This window comes from Homo sapiens, chromosome 11 (assembly GCF_000001405.40).
Source record: "Homo sapiens chromosome 11, GRCh38.p14 Primary Assembly".
Classification (NCBI taxonomy): Eukaryota; Metazoa; Chordata; class Mammalia; order Primates; family Hominidae; genus Homo; species Homo sapiens.
The window spans coordinates 66052308-66069680 of NC_000011.10; the positions used below are offsets into that span (position 1 = coordinate 66052308).

The 17373-nt window shown below is 47.6% G+C and overlaps 1 protein-coding gene and 1 non-coding gene across 5 annotated transcripts, besides 3 other annotated features; both read left to right on the forward strand.

The window, feature by feature from the left end:
* On the forward strand, positions 57-17001 carry SF3B2 (splicing factor 3b subunit 2). Of its 4 annotated transcripts, none has more exons than NM_006842.3 (22): positions 57-210; positions 366-412; positions 720-797; positions 2769-3008; positions 3228-3278; positions 4531-4648; positions 4959-5068; positions 5747-5843; positions 6007-6098; positions 6523-6738; positions 6894-7031; positions 7208-7288; positions 7475-7702; positions 8275-8424; positions 9379-9468; positions 9584-9691; positions 10702-10809; positions 11093-11235; positions 11321-11422; positions 15639-15738; positions 15841-16026; positions 16367-17001. In NM_006842.3, exons 1-22 carry the CDS (start codon positions 78-80, stop codon positions 16436-16438), a joined length of 2688 nt encoding a protein of 895 aa, NP_006833.2. In that variant the 5' UTR covers positions 57-77; the 3' UTR covers positions 16439-17001. The 4 variants fall into 4 exon arrangements, with proteins under 4 accessions (NP_006833.2, XP_005273783.1, XP_011543042.1 ...); XM_005273726.5 differs by having other exon boundaries at positions 4962-5068; XM_011544740.4 differs by having other exon boundaries at positions 3231-3278.
* Positions 95-264: an enhancer, noted in NCBI's record as "active region_5028". NCBI's record gives its function as "activates an Ori minimal core promoter by ATAC-STARR-seq in GM12878 lymphoblastoid cells {active_cell/tissue: GM12878}" and the evidence as "EXISTENCE:reporter gene assay evidence [ECO:0000049][PMID:35858748]".
* On the forward strand, positions 837-921 carry SNORD13F (small nucleolar RNA, C/D box 13F). The gene has a single exon (NR_145738.1). It is a non-coding gene; the product is annotated as a small nucleolar RNA, C/D box 13F (small nucleolar RNA).
* Positions 15818-15977: an enhancer, noted in NCBI's record as "active region_5029". NCBI's record gives its function as "activates an Ori minimal core promoter by ATAC-STARR-seq in GM12878 lymphoblastoid cells {active_cell/tissue: GM12878}" and the evidence as "EXISTENCE:reporter gene assay evidence [ECO:0000049][PMID:35858748]".
* Positions 16068-16117: a silencer, noted in NCBI's record as "silent region_3572". NCBI's record gives its function as "represses an Ori minimal core promoter by ATAC-STARR-seq in GM12878 lymphoblastoid cells {active_cell/tissue: GM12878}" and the evidence as "EXISTENCE:reporter gene assay evidence [ECO:0000049][PMID:35858748]".

Genomic DNA, 17373 nt, shown 5'->3' on the forward strand with positions numbered 1-17373 from the left:
CCACCGGAAGTTCCGGCAAGTGGGCCCTGAGGCTGGCCCCAGCTTCCGGGTTGGTCGCGCGCCTTCCTGCGGCTAAGATGGCGACGGAGCATCCCGAGCCTCCCAAAGCAGAATTGCAGCTGCCGCCGCCGCCACCTCCAGGCCACTATGGCGCCTGGGCTGCCCAGGAGCTTCAGGCCAAGTTGGCAGAGATCGGAGCTCCGATCCAGGGTGAGGAACACAGGAAGTCGAGGGGCCTTTACGGGCCTGCGGAGAAGCGGAGCCTGGTTACCCGGGAGACTCGGGTGCGAGGGGCGGAGGCAGGCCGCTGGGGCCTGACCTGGCCGGGCTGGCCTGCCCCATTGATCGTGTACTTTGCCCTGCAGGTAATCGCGAGGAGCTGGTGGAGCGGCTGCAGAGCTACACCCGCCAGGTAGGTGTTGGCGGCGGGACGTCAGGATAGGCCGAGCTTCTCCAGGAGACCTTATATACCCCATCACGGCTCGGTCTTCATTCTTTCTTTATCTCGGCACAGCAAGGCGGAGGCTTGCCCTTTTTAGCTTGTTCTTGCCTTTGCCAGCTTAGTTGTAATTTCTTGTATCCATCTTGGTCCTCTTCAGTGCCCAGCCAGAGCGCTGGCAGACAGGCACTGGGTACGTTTTGTTGAATGAATTGGGAGCGAACGTCGTTTAGTGAAACAGCTAGTTTTGGACTGACCTAGAGTCCTTTCTCTTTTGCAGACTGGCATCGTGCTGAATCGGCCGGTTTTGAGAGGGGAAGATGGGGACAAAGCCGCTCCACCTCCCATGTCGGCACAGGTAGGGAGATTCTTCTGTTTTTTAAGATTCCATCTGCTGATCCTTTTGTAGTTCATGAGCATGATGATTGGGTGTTCACGTGCATGTGTGAGATGTGACACCCTTGCACATTACTCGCCTGACCTGAGTGGGGAAAAAAAAAGATTCCATATGTTCAGGGTAGCCCTTCCTCTCACTTGCAGTTGTTGGGCAGGGAGGTACTGCCATGACAGAATTGTGAGCTCTTCAGTTCTCTCTTTGATGCTGACACTTGCCTCCTTTTCCACTGTCTGCTTCTCCAAAAGCAGCTTGTGGCCGGGTGCAGTGGCGCATGCCTGTAATCCCACCACTTCGGGATGCTTAGATGGGACGATCGCTTGAAGCCAGGAGTTCGAGACCAGCCTGGGCAACATAGTGAGACTCTGTTACTACAAAAAATTTTAAAAATTAGCTGGGCACGGTGGCACGCGCCTATAAAGTCCCTATAAAGAGGCTCAAGGATTGCTGGAGCCCTGGGGTTGGAGGCTGCAGTGAGCTCTGGTTGCGCCACTGTACTCCATGTACTCCATCCTGGGTGACAGAATGAGACTTTGCTTCTTTAAAAAAAAAAGGGGGGAGGTGATGGGGGAGGGGCTGGGAGAGTGTCAGAAAAAATAGCTAATGCATGCCAGGCTTAATACTTAGGCAGTGGGTTGATAGGTGCAGCAAACCACCATAGCACACATTTACCTATGTAACAAACCTGCGCATACTGCACATGTACCCGAAAACTTACAATAAAATAAAATTAAACCAAAAAATAGGAAAAAAAAAAAAGAGGCAGGGCGTGGTGGCTCATGTCTGTAATCCCAGCACTTTGAGAGGCCAAGGCAGGTGGATCGCCTGCGGTCAGGAGTTTGAAACTAGCCTGGCCAACATGGCGAAACTCTCTCTACTAAAAATACAAAAATTAGCTGGGCGTGGTAGCACATGTCTGTAATCCCAGCTACTTGGGAGGCTGAGGCAGGAGAATCACTTGAACCCTGGAGGTGGACGGTGCAGTGAGCCAAGATCAAGCCCCTGCACTCCAGCCTGGGCAATAGAGCGAGACTGTCTCAAAAAAAAAAAAAAGAGGCAGGGCATGGTGGCTCATGCCTGTAATCCCAGCACTTTGGGAGGCTGAGGTGGGCGATCACTTGAGGTCACGAGTTCAAGACCAACCTGGCCAACATGGTGAAACCTTGTCTCTACTAAAAATATAAAAATTAGCCGGGCATGGTGGCAGGTGCCTGTAATCCCAGCTACTTGGGAGGCTGAGGCACGAGAATTGCTTGAACCTGGAAAGCGGAGGTTGCAGTGAGCTGAGATTGCGCCATTGCACTCCAGCCTGGGTGACAGAGCGAGACTCTTGTCTCAAAAAAAAAAAAAAAATACAGCTTGAATACAAGGAAGACTGACTTGTCCTTACCCAGCTGGAAGCAATCACCCTTTTCTTTGCCTGCCCCAGGCACAGTTCCCATGTTCTTTTGTGTGACATCGAGGGCTCCCTGATTTGATTTCACACCCCTTGCGTTTAGTAGTCATTGGGGTTTGCATTGCCCAGATACAGTGGTTCCTGTTTATGTAAGTCCTCTCAATTTCCATGTTCCTTCTGATCCAGGATTTGCCTCATTTTCTCTAAAGCAGTGGCTCTGACCTGGCATCTACTGATCTCTGTGTGTAGGATGAGGAGTCCCTAGATGGCCTCAGAGGCGTCTTTGAGTCTCCTAGAATTGTATGCAGAATCTATATTCAGGATATCTTTTTGGAGAGAGTGGATAGCTTCCTTTGGTTGGTGCCAGAAGTTAACATTCTCATATCTTTATAGAGCTGTGGAGCATTCTCTCTTATGGAGTGGTAACTATGTATCATTTGACTTAGAATTCCAGCTCCTGACTCAAAGTAGATCCCCCAGATATTTGCAGAATGAGTAGATAAATGCTTCCTAGTTTTATGATCATATTTTCTCCACAGCTCCCTGGAATTCCCATGCCACCACCACCTTTGGGACTCCCCCCTCTGCAGCCTCCTCCGCCACCCCCACCACCTCCACCAGGCCTTGGCCTTGGCTTTCCTATGGCCCACCCACCAAATTTGGGGCCCCCGCCTCCTCTCCGTGTGGGTGAGCCAGTGGCACTGTCAGAGGAGGAGCGGCTGAAGTTGGCTCAGCAGCAGGCGGCATTGCTGATGCAGCAGGAGGAGCGTGCCAAGCAGGTAGGGCAGGTGGCAGCCCTGGCCTTGGACTCATTAGGTCCCTGAAGGGGCAGTGGAGCCTTAGAGAAAGCTGGGTCCTAGAACTAAGGCTTCTGGGAAGGTCGGGACTAAAGATTGGAACATGGGCCCTTGACTGGAAGAGGATCTCAAGAAGCAAGAGTTGTGGCAGATTGGCGTGTTGGGTATTGGTGCTGGTATGAACTTGTTTTCTTTTTTAAGCAGGGAGATCATTCGCTGAAGGAACATGAGCTCTTGGAGCAGCAGAAGCGGGTAATACCCCTCCCCCTAACCTTTGACCTCGTGGTCCAGTCAGTTGGCTGTCATTTATAGTGCTTAGAGTGCACCATTCAAGTTTTCCCTGGAGGCTACTTTGTTCTCAACTAAGTTCTAGTATCTTCCAAAGCTTTCAATTTTTCTTGAAGTTCAGGAATTGACAAACTATGACCTGTGGCCTGCATGTGTATGGCCTATGAGCTAAAAATAACTTTAAAATTTTTTAAGGGTTATAAGAAAACCCAAACCAAAAATATGTACCAGAGTCTGTACAGCAACCCATAAAGCCTAAAATATTTACCTTCTGACCTATTATAAAAAGAGCCTGCTGACCTCTGCTCGCCTTACATGACATCATTCTAGATAGGACTCTGGGTAATTGAGTTATTTGTATTGGATTTAGACAGAATAGGACTGTAAGTCTGGGAATGTTATATAAGATGTTTGGCCCCAGAGGTGCATTGCATCAGTCATTACCCAGTGGGTTACTCAGGAGTATTAAAAAGTAAGTGTTAAAAAGCAACAAGTATGAGCTGGGTGCCGTGGCTCACACCTGTAATCCTAGCACTTTGGGAGGCTGAGGTGGGTGGATCGCTTGAGCTCAGGAGTTCGAGACCAGCCTGGCCAACATAATGAAACCCTGTCTCTCAGAAATACAAAAATTAGCCAGGTGTGGCGGCGCATGCCTGTAGTCCCAGCTACTTGGGAGGCTGAGGTGGGAGGATGGCTTGAGCTGGGGAGGCCGAGGTTGCAGTGAGCTGAGATCATGCCACTGTACTCCAGCCTAGGCAACAGAGCCAGACTCTGTCTCAAAAAAAAAAAAAAAAAAAAAAGCCACAAGTCTGGACCTGTGGGTAAAGTACTGTCTTTGCCCAGATTGTGCTGGATCTTGAGGGGTGGATATAAGAAAAGAGCTCAAAAGTTTCTTCTGTATAATTTAATCTTTTGGGGAAGAAAACTCTCTGAAAAGTAGAAGGCACTGTTTGGCTCAATATGAAATTCTCTGCTAGGAACCAGAAGTTTCCTGGGGTTTTCCTTGGTGTTATTTCTAGGGATTTTCCGTTGTGATGAGAGGGCTCCTCCGTTTGGATTAGTAGCCTGGAAGTGTGGGGGTGGAGGGGATGTCAGCACCCAAGTGGTTCGTGATTGTTCTCCTTGGGCCCATTACCCGGCTGAAAGAATGCATTTGCCAGGGGCTGCCTGCCAAATGCGTTTTCAGGCAGTATCTACTCCCACTTCCCTCCCGTAGGCAGCTGTGTTACTGGAGCAGGAACGACAGCAGGAGATTGCCAAGATGGGCACCCCAGTCCCTCGGCCCCCACAAGACATGGGCCAGATTGGTGTGCGCACTCCTCTGGGTCCTCGAGGTGAGACCCTGGAACCGAGGGGAAGGGCAAGGAAGGTGATTTAGACATTTTTAAAAAGACTTTTAAGGTATCTATCACATTTAAAAAGGGCATATATAGTAAATATATAGTTTAATGGTTTTTTACACACTGAACACACCTGTACAACCAGCACCTGGACCATGATCCAAAACATTACCAGCATTCCAAAAGCCACGCCACGTGCCCTCCTCCCCTGCAGGTTTACCATCACCCTTTCAGCAAGAGAGGTAATTTTTTACGTGAGTGTTTTGCCTCTTCTGACATTGGATTTCTTTTTCCCGTCTCTTAGTAGCTGCTCCAGTGGGCCCAGTGGGCCCCACTCCTACAGTTTTGCCCATGGGAGCCCCTGTTCCCCGGCCTCGTGGTCCCCCACCGCCCCCTGGAGATGAGAACAGAGAGGTGAGACTGATGATTTATTCCTAGGGATAAGAGAGTGGTAGTTTAGGATGGGACTATTTTTGGATTTTTAGAGAAAGGTTCTGTGAGAAGATGGGGGGACTTAAATTCCTGGGGGTAGTGGGGAGCCCTTCTTATTTAAACTAAGGGTATGGCAGAGGGACTGGGGAGACATTACTGAGGCAGAGTCTTGGGGTCCCTCTGAGGAACACTAAACCCCACTGAGCCCAGTTGGTGTTGCCCACTCTCTGCTGCTTACATCACCTGGGCAGCAGCCTTTCTAGTCCAAGAGGTGGAAGTTGGTGGAAAAAGGGCACTGTGGGCTGGGTGCGGTGGCTCACACCTGTAATCCCAGCACTTTGGGAGGCCGAGGCGGGCGGATCACCTGAGGTCAGGAGTTCTAGACCAGCCTCAACATGGAGAAACCCCATCTCTACTAAAAATACAAAATTGGCCAGGTGTGGTGGTGCATGCCTGTAATCCCAGCTACTCGGGAGGCTGAGGCAGGAGAATTGCTTGAACCTGGGAGGCGGAGGTTGTGGTGGGCCGAGATCGCGCCATTGCACTCCAGCCTGGGCAACAAGAGCAAAACTCCGTCTCAAAAAAAAAAAAAAGAAAGAAAGAAAAAAAAAAGAAAAAGGGCACTGTGATTTGCCTTCTCTGACTGGGTGTCTCTGGCAGATGGATGACCCCTCTGTGGGCCCCAAGATCCCCCAGGCTTTGGAGAAGATCCTGCAGCTGAAGGAGAGCCGCCAGGAAGAGATGAATTCTCAGCAGGGTGAGTGCCAGGCGTTCTGATGCTGTAGCCACAGAACCTGGAGAGGCTGAGCTGAGTCCTCATCCCTCTGTCCCTTTCCCTGGCTCTTGGTAAAGGCAGGTTACTGTGAACGAGTGCAGGGCAGTGGCACCGTGAAGACTCATCACCACCTTCTTCCTTACAGAGGAAGAGGAAATGGAAACAGATGCTCGCTCGTCCCTGGGCCAGTCAGCGTCAGAGACTGAGGAGGACACAGTGTCCGTATCTAAAAAGGAGGTAGGGATTGGAGCTGAGTGTGGAAGGAAAGCCAGGAGATGGGACTTGGGTACGGAAATAACACAATTTGTAAGTGTTCAGTAAGTAATAGCTTCTATTTTGTGCCAATTTCCGCCCTCAGCATCTTATAGATATTTTTCATTTAATTGCTTTGAGTTCCAAGTACTATACGTGCCTACATTTTACAGCTGAAAAAGCAGAGGTTCTGAGACGCACAGTAATTTACCCAAAGGCATACAGCTTGTGAGTGGCAGAACTTTGGAGTCTGACTCCAAGGCCCCTTCGCAGCTACTTCATGAGATGGCCTCCTTGGGAAAAGCCTGACTGTTGAACTGTGGGGGAGAATGGGGGAGGAGTTTAGGGGTTGGGGTGCTGGCACAGTGCTTGGATTCCCTGACCCAGCTGGTTTTCCTCCTCTTGACAGAAAAACCGGAAGCGTAGGAACCGAAAGAAGAAGAAAAAGCCCCAGCGGGTGCGAGGGGTGTCCTCTGAGAGCTCTGGGGACCGGGAGAAAGACTCAACCCGGTCCCGTGGCTCTGATTCCCCAGCAGCTGATGTTGAGATTGAGTATGTGACTGAAGAACCTGAAATTTACGAGCCCAACTTTATCTTCTTTAAGAGGATCTTTGAGGCTTTTAAGGTACAAGGAGAGCACACTAGGAAGGGGCAGTGCCAAACAGGGAAGGGGCTCAGAGGTGGGTGAGAGGCAGCGGTGAACAGGCATCTTTTAGTGCTGGCCTTAGGAACTGGGAAGGGGCTCAGAGGGCAGGGGTTTCACCTTGTCTGCCTCCTTAGCTCACTGATGATGTGAAGAAGGAGAAAGAGAAGGAGCCAGAGAAACTTGACAAACTGGAGAACTCTGCAGCCCCCAAGAAGAAGGGATTTGAAGAGGAGCACAAGGACAGTGATGATGACAGCAGTGATGACGAGCAGGTCAGGCCCAGCCCTCCTGGTGGGAAGCAGGGACTCTGGGCACAGGTGGCTGAGATGCATCCAGAGAGGGACCATGGTGAACTCTTACAGAGCTTTGGTGGCTTAAGGTTGGGGTGGGTTGGGCAGTTTCATTCACATCTGAGTCCTGCTTAAAAGGGCTGATTGTTCTGTTCTAGGAAAAGAAGCCAGAAGCCCCCAAGCTGTCCAAGAAGAAGTTGCGCCGAATGAACCGCTTCACTGTGGCTGAACTCAAGCAGGTAAGACCTGAGAGGATCCTGCAGGCCCTGGAGCCCAGCTGGGAGACCACCTGGGGAGCCAGGGAGGTGAAAAGGAGTTCTTTGAAGGAGGTGTGGGTGATTTGGGTTTGGGTCCTTTGAGGAAGAAGAGCTTCAGAACTGAGAAGTCGGGGCTCTCGAGAACACGCATTACTATGTGTTTTCCAGCTGGTGGCTCGGCCCGATGTCGTGGAGATGCACGATGTGACAGCGCAGGACCCTAAGCTCTTGGTTCACCTCAAGGCCACTCGGAACTCTGTGCCTGTGCCACGCCACTGGTGTTTTAAGCGCAAATACCTGCAGGGCAAACGGGGCATTGAGAAGCCCCCCTTCGAGCTGCCAGACTTCATCAAACGCACAGGCATCCAGGAGATGCGAGAGGCCCTGCAGGAGAAGGTGAGGGCCTGGCAGGGCTCAGACCTGCCCCCGGGTGTCCCCATCCTTCATAGCAGTGTGCTTCAAAATGGGAATCTGGTTTGAAACCCACCTACCACCTACTTGTTACTTGTCTAATTATCCTTTTGTTTTCCTCCTCTGCTCTTCCTCCCCTCTGCCTTCACTTTGCCAGCTCACCTGGTGACTCCTTTCTCAGATGTACTTTGTGGCTAGAGATTCGTGGTGGTTGTGTAACTTCTTAATTTTAAAGCTTTTAGTTAAATGCTTTGAATTCAGGAGGTAGAAAAGAACATGGGGAAGTCTCTGCTTTCCAGAGAACTGTTGAGATTCATCTCTTGATGAGATGGTTTAAAAACTAGTTATTGATATACACGGCTGAGGCTGATATTGTATAGTCTGTTTTGTTCAGTATGGATTATGTAATTTTGAAAGGTTTTAGCAGGAAGGATTTTGATGACTTTCAGGGTGAGATAATTGAGGCTTCCCATGATCTCATTTGGAGTTGGGAGCTGGATTCTCTACATGAATTTGGTGAGTACTTGTTAAGGCTTGTTTGCTGCCATTCTCCACAGGAAGAACAGAAGACCATGAAGTCAAAAATGCGAGAGAAAGTTCGGCCTAAGATGGGCAAAATTGACATCGACTACCAGAAACTGCATGATGCCTTCTTCAAGTGGCAGACCAAGCCAAAGCTGACCATCCATGGGGACCTGTACTATGAGGTTCGGGAGGGGGCTGGGAGAGGTCAGGCTGGGCCTTGGGGTTGAGACTGTCTAGGGCTTTTTTTTGTTTGTTTGTTTGTTTAAAAAAGATGGAGTCTCACCCTGTTATCCAGGCTGGAGTGCAGTGGTGGGATCTCGGCTCACTGTAACCTCTGCCTTGGGGGCTCAAGCAGTCCTCCCATCTCAGCCTCCTGAGTAGCTGGGACCACAGGCACACCACACCTGGCTAATTTTTTGTATCTTTGGTAGAGACAGGGTTTCGCTATGTTGCCCAGGCTAGTGTGGAACTCCTGAGCTCAAGTGATCCACCCGCCTCAGCCTCCCAAAGTGCTGGGTTTATAGGCATGAACCACCGCACCTGGCCAAGGAGGGCTTTTGAAGCAACTACGATAGTTCCTCAGCCTTAGAATTGCCCATCGACTACCCTCGGATGAGATGGAATTTAAAAATGAGGCTCTATTTGGAGGAGAGATGCAGATCTGGTGGCTTCTTTCCCTGATAGACTCTTCGTATCCTGTCTTAGAAATGATAATAGTTTGTGGTAGGTGGTTTAGGGATGGAGGGGCCAAGGGGCAGATGCTTTTAGGAAACTTTTAATATTGGGAGTGGTAGAGAAATTGCTGGTTTTTTCTGATCCTTGAAATCGTAGTCACCATGATGTCATGGAATTTATGAGGTGGAAGAATTTTGCATATCTTCCTGTCGAGTGCCCTCATTTTACAGATGAGGAGGCAGGTCCTAACGTTGGCCGTGTTCTCATAGTGGGTTATTGACAGCACTGTGAGTCTGGCCTGGTTTTTATTCCTTCCCCGACTTTGGCCAGGGAAAGAAGTGATGAGAATCAGAGTGGGAGCCAGGTAGCCCTCACTGGGATTTTATATCTGATGTGCGTTAGGATTGTGCTCCCACTGAGTGTCTGGGTCTACAATGTAGCATGCTCTGCTTTTCCCTCAGGGGAAGGAGTTCGAGACACGACTGAAGGAGAAGAAGCCAGGAGATCTGTCTGATGAGCTAAGGATTTCCTTGGGGATGCCAGTAGGACCAGTGAGTGTCAGTTAGCTGTCTGGGGAAGCAGCGAAGAGGCTGGTGGGGATTGGAGTGGAAGGCAGAGACAGGGATAGGGTTTGGCAGATGGTATCCTGTTCTCTTTTTCCTGCAGAATGCCCACAAGGTCCCTCCCCCATGGCTGATTGCCATGCAGCGATATGGACCACCCCCATCGTATCCCAACCTGAAAATCCCTGGGCTGAACTCGCCCATCCCTGAGGTGAGCATTGTCCTTTCGTTCATTCTTGGCCATTTCTGCTTTTGAACTGGAAGGTAATTTGTTTGTTTTCCTTCTCTAACTCCACCATGTGTCTCTTTATTTACTTAAAAAATATTTTATTGACATAATATTTGTCATATACCATGTGTATGTGTAGAAAAACAAATAATGGTTTTTGTTTTTTAAAGAAACTGACATGCTCATCATAAAATATTCAGTCAGAATTGACAAGTACAAAGATGAAAGCAAGTCACAATTTTACCACTCAGAAATAGCCAAATTCACTGTTTGGTGAATGTGTTTCCAGATATGTCTCTGAATATTAAGAATGACCAGAGAGAAATAATTTTATCTCAGCCAGATGTGGTGTCTCAACACCTGTAATCCCAGCACTTTGGGAGGCTGAGGTGGGAGGATCCCTTGGGGCCAGGGGTTTAAGACTAGCCTGGGCAACATAGTGAAACCGCACCTCTACTTTAAAAAAAAAAAAAAAGAAAAAAGAAATAATTTTTTTTTAGCTTCACTTCAGTCTCTCAGAAATAATTTTATCTCAAGAATGTCTTCAAATTTCTTATTTTAAAATAAGCATTAAAAAAATTGATGAGTCATTAAAGTAAAACAGTAGTATTGTTAAATTTTAGATAGAAATTTCTGCCCCTTAAGATAAATAGATTCTGAACAAGCTAGCTTTCCAAAGTTAGGAAAACTCAATAAGAAATTGAAGTCATGTTTTCAATGTACGTATTTTGGTTTCAGACAGTAAAGACTCTGCCATGACAGAAGTTATTAGCATACTTTCTGCCTCCTGTCTCCTTATCCTGTTGCCTCCAGATTTTAGTTGTTTATTAATTTTGGTTTCTAATGCTTCATAACATTTGATTTAATTCTGCAGTCATAATTTCCGGAGTTCCCAAGTATCAGCTCTGTACTTTTGAGTGTGCCTTTTCTCTAGGGCTTCAGAATTTCTTTTGCAGCTAAGGAGTGAACTGATTGTGCTCACTGTCTTGCAGAGCTGTTCCTTTGGGTACCATGCTGGTGGCTGGGGCAAACCTCCAGTGGATGAGACTGGGAAACCGCTCTATGGGGACGTGTTTGGAACCAATGCTGCTGAATTTCAGGTATGGGCCATGTACTAGCGATCTTGGTTTTACTTAATGTCATGAAGGTTAGATTGTTGGTTTATAGCTTCATTATCAGGGAGTTGTGTGTTCTGACACAGCAGAGCCTGGAAAAGGGCATACATTTTCCTGAGATGTTAATGTAAGCTCCTCACTAGAATTTGAGCTCTAGGTAGGTAGGGATTATTGTGTTTTGACTCTTACACCCCTTCAGCTTAAAACAGCCTGGCACATAATAGGTACTTAGAAAACATTTGTTGAATGATAAAGTGATCTCTTTCAGACCAAGACTGAGGAAGAAGAGATTGATCGGACCCCTTGGGGGGAACTGGAACCATCTGATGAAGAATCCTCAGAAGAAGAGGAAGAGGAAGAAAGTGATGAAGACAAACCAGATGAGACAGGCTTTATTACCCCTGCAGACAGGTGGGGGAAGCAGAGAATGCCTCTTGGAAGTGGGCTATCTTTGGGGTCCTTCTCTTTACTCCAGAGCTTGTTCCTCTCTTTACAGTGGCCTTATCACTCCTGGAGGCTTTTCATCAGTGCCTGCTGGAATGGAGACCCCTGAACTCATTGAGCTGAGGAAGAAGAAGATTGAGGAGGCGATGGACGGGTAAGGGTACCAGACAGGGCTGAGAGGGGAGGACCTTCACTTCCCTTTGGCTGGCTGGCTGACTGTTGTTCCTTTCTCCCTCATCCTTTTTTAAACAATTATTGAACCAACTCTCTGCCAGGCACTACTGTAGGCAGTGAGGAGTCAGCAGTTGAGGTAAACTGGTAATCAGAGAACAAGATACTTTCAGATGTAGATAAGGATGTTGAAGCAGAGGAAACTGGGTAATGGGATGGGGTGGCAGGGAGGCCTTTGGGAAGGCCTCACTGGGGAGGTGGTGCTTGAACTAAGACCCGAATGAAAAAGCGCCAGCCACAGGATCATCTGGGTCAGAAGTAACAGTAAATGCAAGCAAGTGCAAAGGCACTGAGACAGGGATGGGCTAGTATTTTGAAGCTCCATTTTTAGGTAGTTGAATGTGTAGTGTTGTTAGGTCTTCATGAATTGACCCCTTTATCATGAAATGACCCTCTCTTTATCCATTCTGCTCTTTGTTCCCTTTTTCCTGTTTTTCTACCTTCTTTTGGATTACTTGAACAATTTTTATGATTTCATTTTATCTCCAGTGTTGGTTAATTAGCTGTTAAGTTTTTGCTTTGTTATTTTAGTTGTTGCTCTGGGGTTTATAGATCATGTCTTTATCAGGATCTACCTTCTCTTGATGTTACACTGCTTCCAGATAGTATTAAGAGCCATTATAGTATACTTCATTTCTCTCCTCCCAATTTTTGCACTATATTGTCATATATTCACTTTTACATATGTTATAAATCCTATACTATATAGTTATTATTTTTGTTTAAATGGTCAGTTATCTTTTAGGGAGGTTTAAATAAGAATCATGCATGAAGCCATGTAGTTACCATTTTTGTTTCTTTCATTTCTTTGTGTATATCCAGGTTTCTATCTGATATCATTTTTCCTCTGCCTGAAGGGCTTCCTTTAACATTTCTTAAGTTAGGGGGCGTGGTGGCTTAAGCCTGTAATCTCAGTACTCTCAGTACTTTGGGAGAAGGCTGAGGTGGTAGGATTGCTAGATTCCAGGAATTTGAGACCAGCCTGGGCAACATAGTGAGACCCCATTTCTACAAAATATTAAAAAAACATTTCTTGTATTGTGGGTCTGCTGGTTTTGAATTTGTTCTGCTTGAGTAGTCTTAAAAATTCTTTATTTGGCCTTCATTTTTGAAAGATCTTTGCCAGGTTTAGGATTCTAGGTTGACAATCTTTTTTCTTTCAACACTTTTTTTTTTCTTCTTTGAGATGGAATCTTGCTATGTCGCCCAGGCTGGAGTGTAGTGGTGTGATCTTGGCTCACTATAACCTCCACCTCCTGGGTTCAAGCGATTCTCCTGTTTCAGCCTCCCGAGTAGCTGAGATTACATGTGCATACCATCACACCCAGCTAATTTTTATATTTTTAGTAGGGATGGGGTTTTGCCATGTTGGCCAGGCTGGTCTCGAGCTCCTGGCTTCAAGTGATCCGCCTGCCTTGGCCTCCCAGCTTGTTGGGATTACATGTGTGAGTGACCGCATCAGCCTTCTTTCAGTACTTTTAAGATGTTGCTCCAGTGTCTTCTTTCTTGCATTGTTTCTAGTGAGAAAACTGCTGTCATTCTTACCTTTGTTCCTGTGTACATAATGTGTCATTTTTATTTGGCTGTTTTTAAGATTTTATCACTAGTTCTAACAATTTGACTACAATGTGCCTTGGTGTAGTTTCTGAATGTTTCTTTGCTTGGGGTTTTTTAAGCATCTTAGATCTGGGTTTTTAGTTTTTATTAATTTGGGGAAAATTTTGTCATGATTTCTGCAGATATTTTCTCTGTTCCCTTCTCTTTCCTTTGGGAACTCAAATTATTCCTCTATTAATGAAATAATAAATGAAAAAATAAATGAAGAGCTCACTGATGCTCTTCATTTTTAAAGAAATTCTTCTCTCTTTGTATTTCACTTTAGAAAATTTCTATTGCTATATGTTCAAGTTTACTATTATTTTCTTCTGTAATTTCTGATCTAACAGTAATCCCATACAATATAATTCTCCTTTCTAGAAGTTTGATTTCGGGTCTTTTAAATCTATTCTTTCTCTCTTAACTTTTTGAACATGTGGAATGCAGTTATAACAATATTTTATTTTTATGTTATTTTATTTTATTTTATGACGGAGTCTTGCCCTGTTGCCTAGGCTGGAGTGCAGTGGCGTGATCTCGGCTTACTGCAACCTCTGCCACCCAGGTTCCAGCAATTCTTGTGCCGCAGCCTCCCAAGTAGCTGGGACTATAGGCGTGCGCCACCCCACCCAGCTAATTTTTTTGTATTTTTAGTAGAGACAGGGTTTTACCATGTTGACCAGGCTGTTCTTGAACTCCTAACCTCAGGTGATCTGCCTGCCTCGGCCTCCCAAAGTGCTGGGATTACAGGCATGAGCCACCACACCTGGCTATAACAACATTTTAATGTATTGTCTGCTAACTCTAACATCTGTGCCATTTCTGGGTTGACTGCCATTAGTTGATTCATTTTCCTCATTATGGATTGTATTTTCCTACTCTTTTGCACGCCTGGTAATTTTTTTTTCTTTTCCTTTCTTTTTTTGAGAGAGGTTCTCACTGTGTTGCCCAGGCTGGTCTTGAACTTCTGGGCTCAAGCAATCATCCTGCCTCAGCTTCCCAAAGTGCTGGGATTACAGGTGTGAGCCATCAGGCCTGTCCAGTGCCTGGTAATTTTTTATTGAATGCTAGGCTTTGTGAAATTTACCTTGTTGGGTCCAAGATATTTTTGTATTCCTGTACATTTTCTTCAGCTCATTCGGGAATATAGTTATATGGAGATAGTTTGATCCTTTCAGGTCTTGTTTTGGGGTTCTTGAGGCAGGACTGAAGCAGTCCTCCCCATTGTGAGGCACAAGTACCTGTGTACTCTACCCACCACCCTGTGAATCAGGAGGTTTTTCCGGCTGGCTAGTGGGAGTTACTCTATTCCCAGTTCTGAGTGAGCAGCAGTTGCTGTTATGAATCCTTTTGGGTGCTTCTTTCCCTGTCCTTGGTAGGCATGTGCTGCTTAGTACTCCCCTGCATACTTGAGGACCTTCTGTAGGTCTCGAGTTCTCTCTCTGCTCTTTTCTCCAGTACTCTATCCTGTGAACTCTAGCTGCCTTGATCTCCCTGGACTTTCAGTTTCATCCTCCCAACTCACGGAGTCCTCAGGGCTCTCCATGAGTCTCCCCTCTGTTCTGTGGCCTGCAAACTCTCAGGTGTGGTATGCTGGGGCAGTTGAAGGGCTCATCACATTTGTTTCCTGTCTCGCAGGAATCACTGTGCTTTGTTGCCCCATGTGTAGTGTCTTGAAAACCACTGTTTCATATATTTTGCCCATTTTTTTTGGTTGTTTCAGGCAGGAGGGTGTATCTGGTTCCTCTTGCTCCTTGTCAGGAAGCAGAAGTCTCAAGCTTTGCATATTCAAGGAAGAAAAATAAAGAAGGGTACTGTGGACAGAGTATAGTGAGGAGGGCTTGGGTAAGGGACCAGGCTATGAACCCTTTAGGTCATGGTAAGGAGTTTGGATTTTATTCAGATAATGATCAGAAGCCTCAGAGGGTTTTGAGCAAAGGTCTGACAGGACCCGACATCCGTTTTAAGGTATTTTCTCTGGCTCCTGTGTGGACAATAGATTGTCACCTCTTCCAGCGGGAGAGGTGGAGATGATGGGCATAGTCTGGGGTGATAGTGGTAGATTTGCTCTTGTTCCTAGTGTAATCCTTGAAATTAGTGGTGAAACTGGCTGTGGATGGCTCTTGCGTTGGAAGGCCTGGAAGTGTGAATTACATACATGAGAACTCCAGGCATGACATTCTTCGGGTGGGAACTGTTGTCGCCTGCTCTATCTTGCCAGCTTCTCTGTACCAAAGTTCTTTTGGAAACTTTGAGCCTCTCTGACCTTTTGACCCTTATGTGCATGTGGGAGTCCTGGTCTGTGATCCCTTGACTTGATTCAGGGGGCCCCTTAGCTCCATCTGTGTTCCCTGGAGTCAGCACTGTGCCACCCCCCCGCCCAATTCTTTTCTGTCATGGGCAGAACTGCAGAGGCTGCATCCTTGGGGAGCTCAGAAGCTCTCCAAGGCGCTGAGTGGAGGTGCCACCTGTATCTTTTGTTTCCGCTTCTGGAGACCCTTTTGTCCCTTGCTTTTTGGGCCTGATCCCATTGTCCTTCGCAGAAGTGAGACACCTCAGCTCTTCACTGTGTTGCCAGAGAAGAGAACAGCCACTGTTGGAGGGGCCATGATGGGATCAACCCACATTTATGACATGTCCACGGTGAGTACTTGGAGGATACTGCTTTTGGAGGCTGAGAAAGGCAGCAGAAGCTAGGGCTTCTCTGACTCTTTGGAGATGACCAGGCCCTGATCTCCTTTCCAGGTTATGAGCCGGAAGGGCCCGGCTCCTGAGCTGCAAGGTGTGGAAGTGGCGCTGGCGCCTGAAGAGTTGGAGCTGGATCCTATGGCCATGACCCAGAAGTATGAGGAGCATGTGCGGGAGCAGCAGGCTCAAGTAGAGAAGGAGGACTTCAGTGACATGGTGGCTGAGCACGCTGCCAAACAGAAGGTAGGCGCTTCCAGGGGCGCTGGGCTGGGTGAGAGCCAGGGACCCTGGCCTGCCGTTTTCAGTGGCATGGTGCCCTCTAGTGGTGAGAGTGAGGGTGGCCTCTGCTTGCTGCTCTGTGCTTCCTTAGATTTGGAAGTCTTAGAAATCCTCCAGTGGGCTGCCCTCTTTAAGGACGATGAGGGGGAGGAACTCAGCCAAGTCTGAGAGGGAGCTCGAAGAGAATTCAGATTCAGCGCCTTTCCCACAGACTTCTATGTCTATGTCAGGCTGCCCACCCTTGTTTTGGGGGTCCGGGGGTGGTTCAACCTGTCTTAACCTGTGTCTCTTTCTCCCTATACAGCAAAAAAAACGGAAAGCTCAGCCCCAGGACAGCCGTGGGGGCAGCAAGAAATATAAGGAGTTCAAGTTTTAGGTCCCCTCACACTAGCCCTTTTTTTGGCCCTACGTCTGGATGCCTGGGCTTCACACAAGAACCACCTCTCCCGCAGTTCCCAAGGACTTGTCATTTCATGTTCTTATTTTAGACCTGTTTTGTAAATAAAGCTGTTTCCCAAGGAAAGAGATGAATATTTAACACTCCTGAGCCTCCCTCATCTCCTTTTAGCCCCTTCTTGCAAAAGGACTAAAATAGTCTCTTTCTACAATCACTGGGCTGCCCCAGTAACCACGAACATAAACTGGGATTAGACGGCGCATTTGACTGGTGGTGACGCCAACCCCAGGCTGAAATCTGTGTTTCACCACTGCCCTGCTTTGTAGGAAGGCTTGGGGGAAGTACCTCTAGGTCTGGTTTGACCTTACTACTTTGTCCTTGGGGAGTAAAAATAGCCAGATTAGCGCCCTAGCGCGGCAGAGGAAGTAACAGTGGGCTTGGGAAGTAGGCCAGGGCAGGCCTTCCCAACTGACCTTGTGACCAGAAGTTCAAGTCCTTACCTGTGCGACAACATAGCTCAAAAGCTAAATTGTCTTGAGTCCATATGAACCCTTGGGTTCAAGCAACACTAGTCGCTGGGGTTTGGGATTTGTATGTGGGATGGGGGGACTTACTTTCTCCAGGTTGTAATCTGGTCCTGAGCAGCCTTTCTGACAGACTAGAGCAGGCTGGATCACTGGCTCCCATGGGCATTTGCCAGCCTGTGGGGAGGGTAGTCATGCGCTGCTGTTGTACTACTGTTGGTGTTTAAGTGCACCAGTGGAGGCGCTCACTTGCCGGAGGGTTCAAGATGGTCTCGGGGTTGTGGGGGGCATGATCCAGATAGGACGTGGCAGCTGAGCTAGGCCTTAGGAGGAATGGAATTTTAGAAATTTGGTAAGCAACAAAGCACTGGCACTCTAAAGAGGCATTTG

Coding starts and splice junctions, on each gene's coding strand:
- SF3B2 (NM_006842.3), top strand. CDS start 78: ATGGCGACGGAGCATCCCGAGCCTCCCAAAGCAGAATTGCAGCTGCCG. Junction 4,649..4,958: donor CACTCCTCTGGGTCCTCGAG/GTGAGACCCTGG, acceptor CCCGTCTCTTAG/TAGCTGCTCCAGTGGGCCCA. Junction 11,236..11,320: donor TTTATTACCCCTGCAGACAG/GTGGGGGAAGCA, acceptor CTCTCTTTACAG/TGGCCTTATCACTCCTGGAG.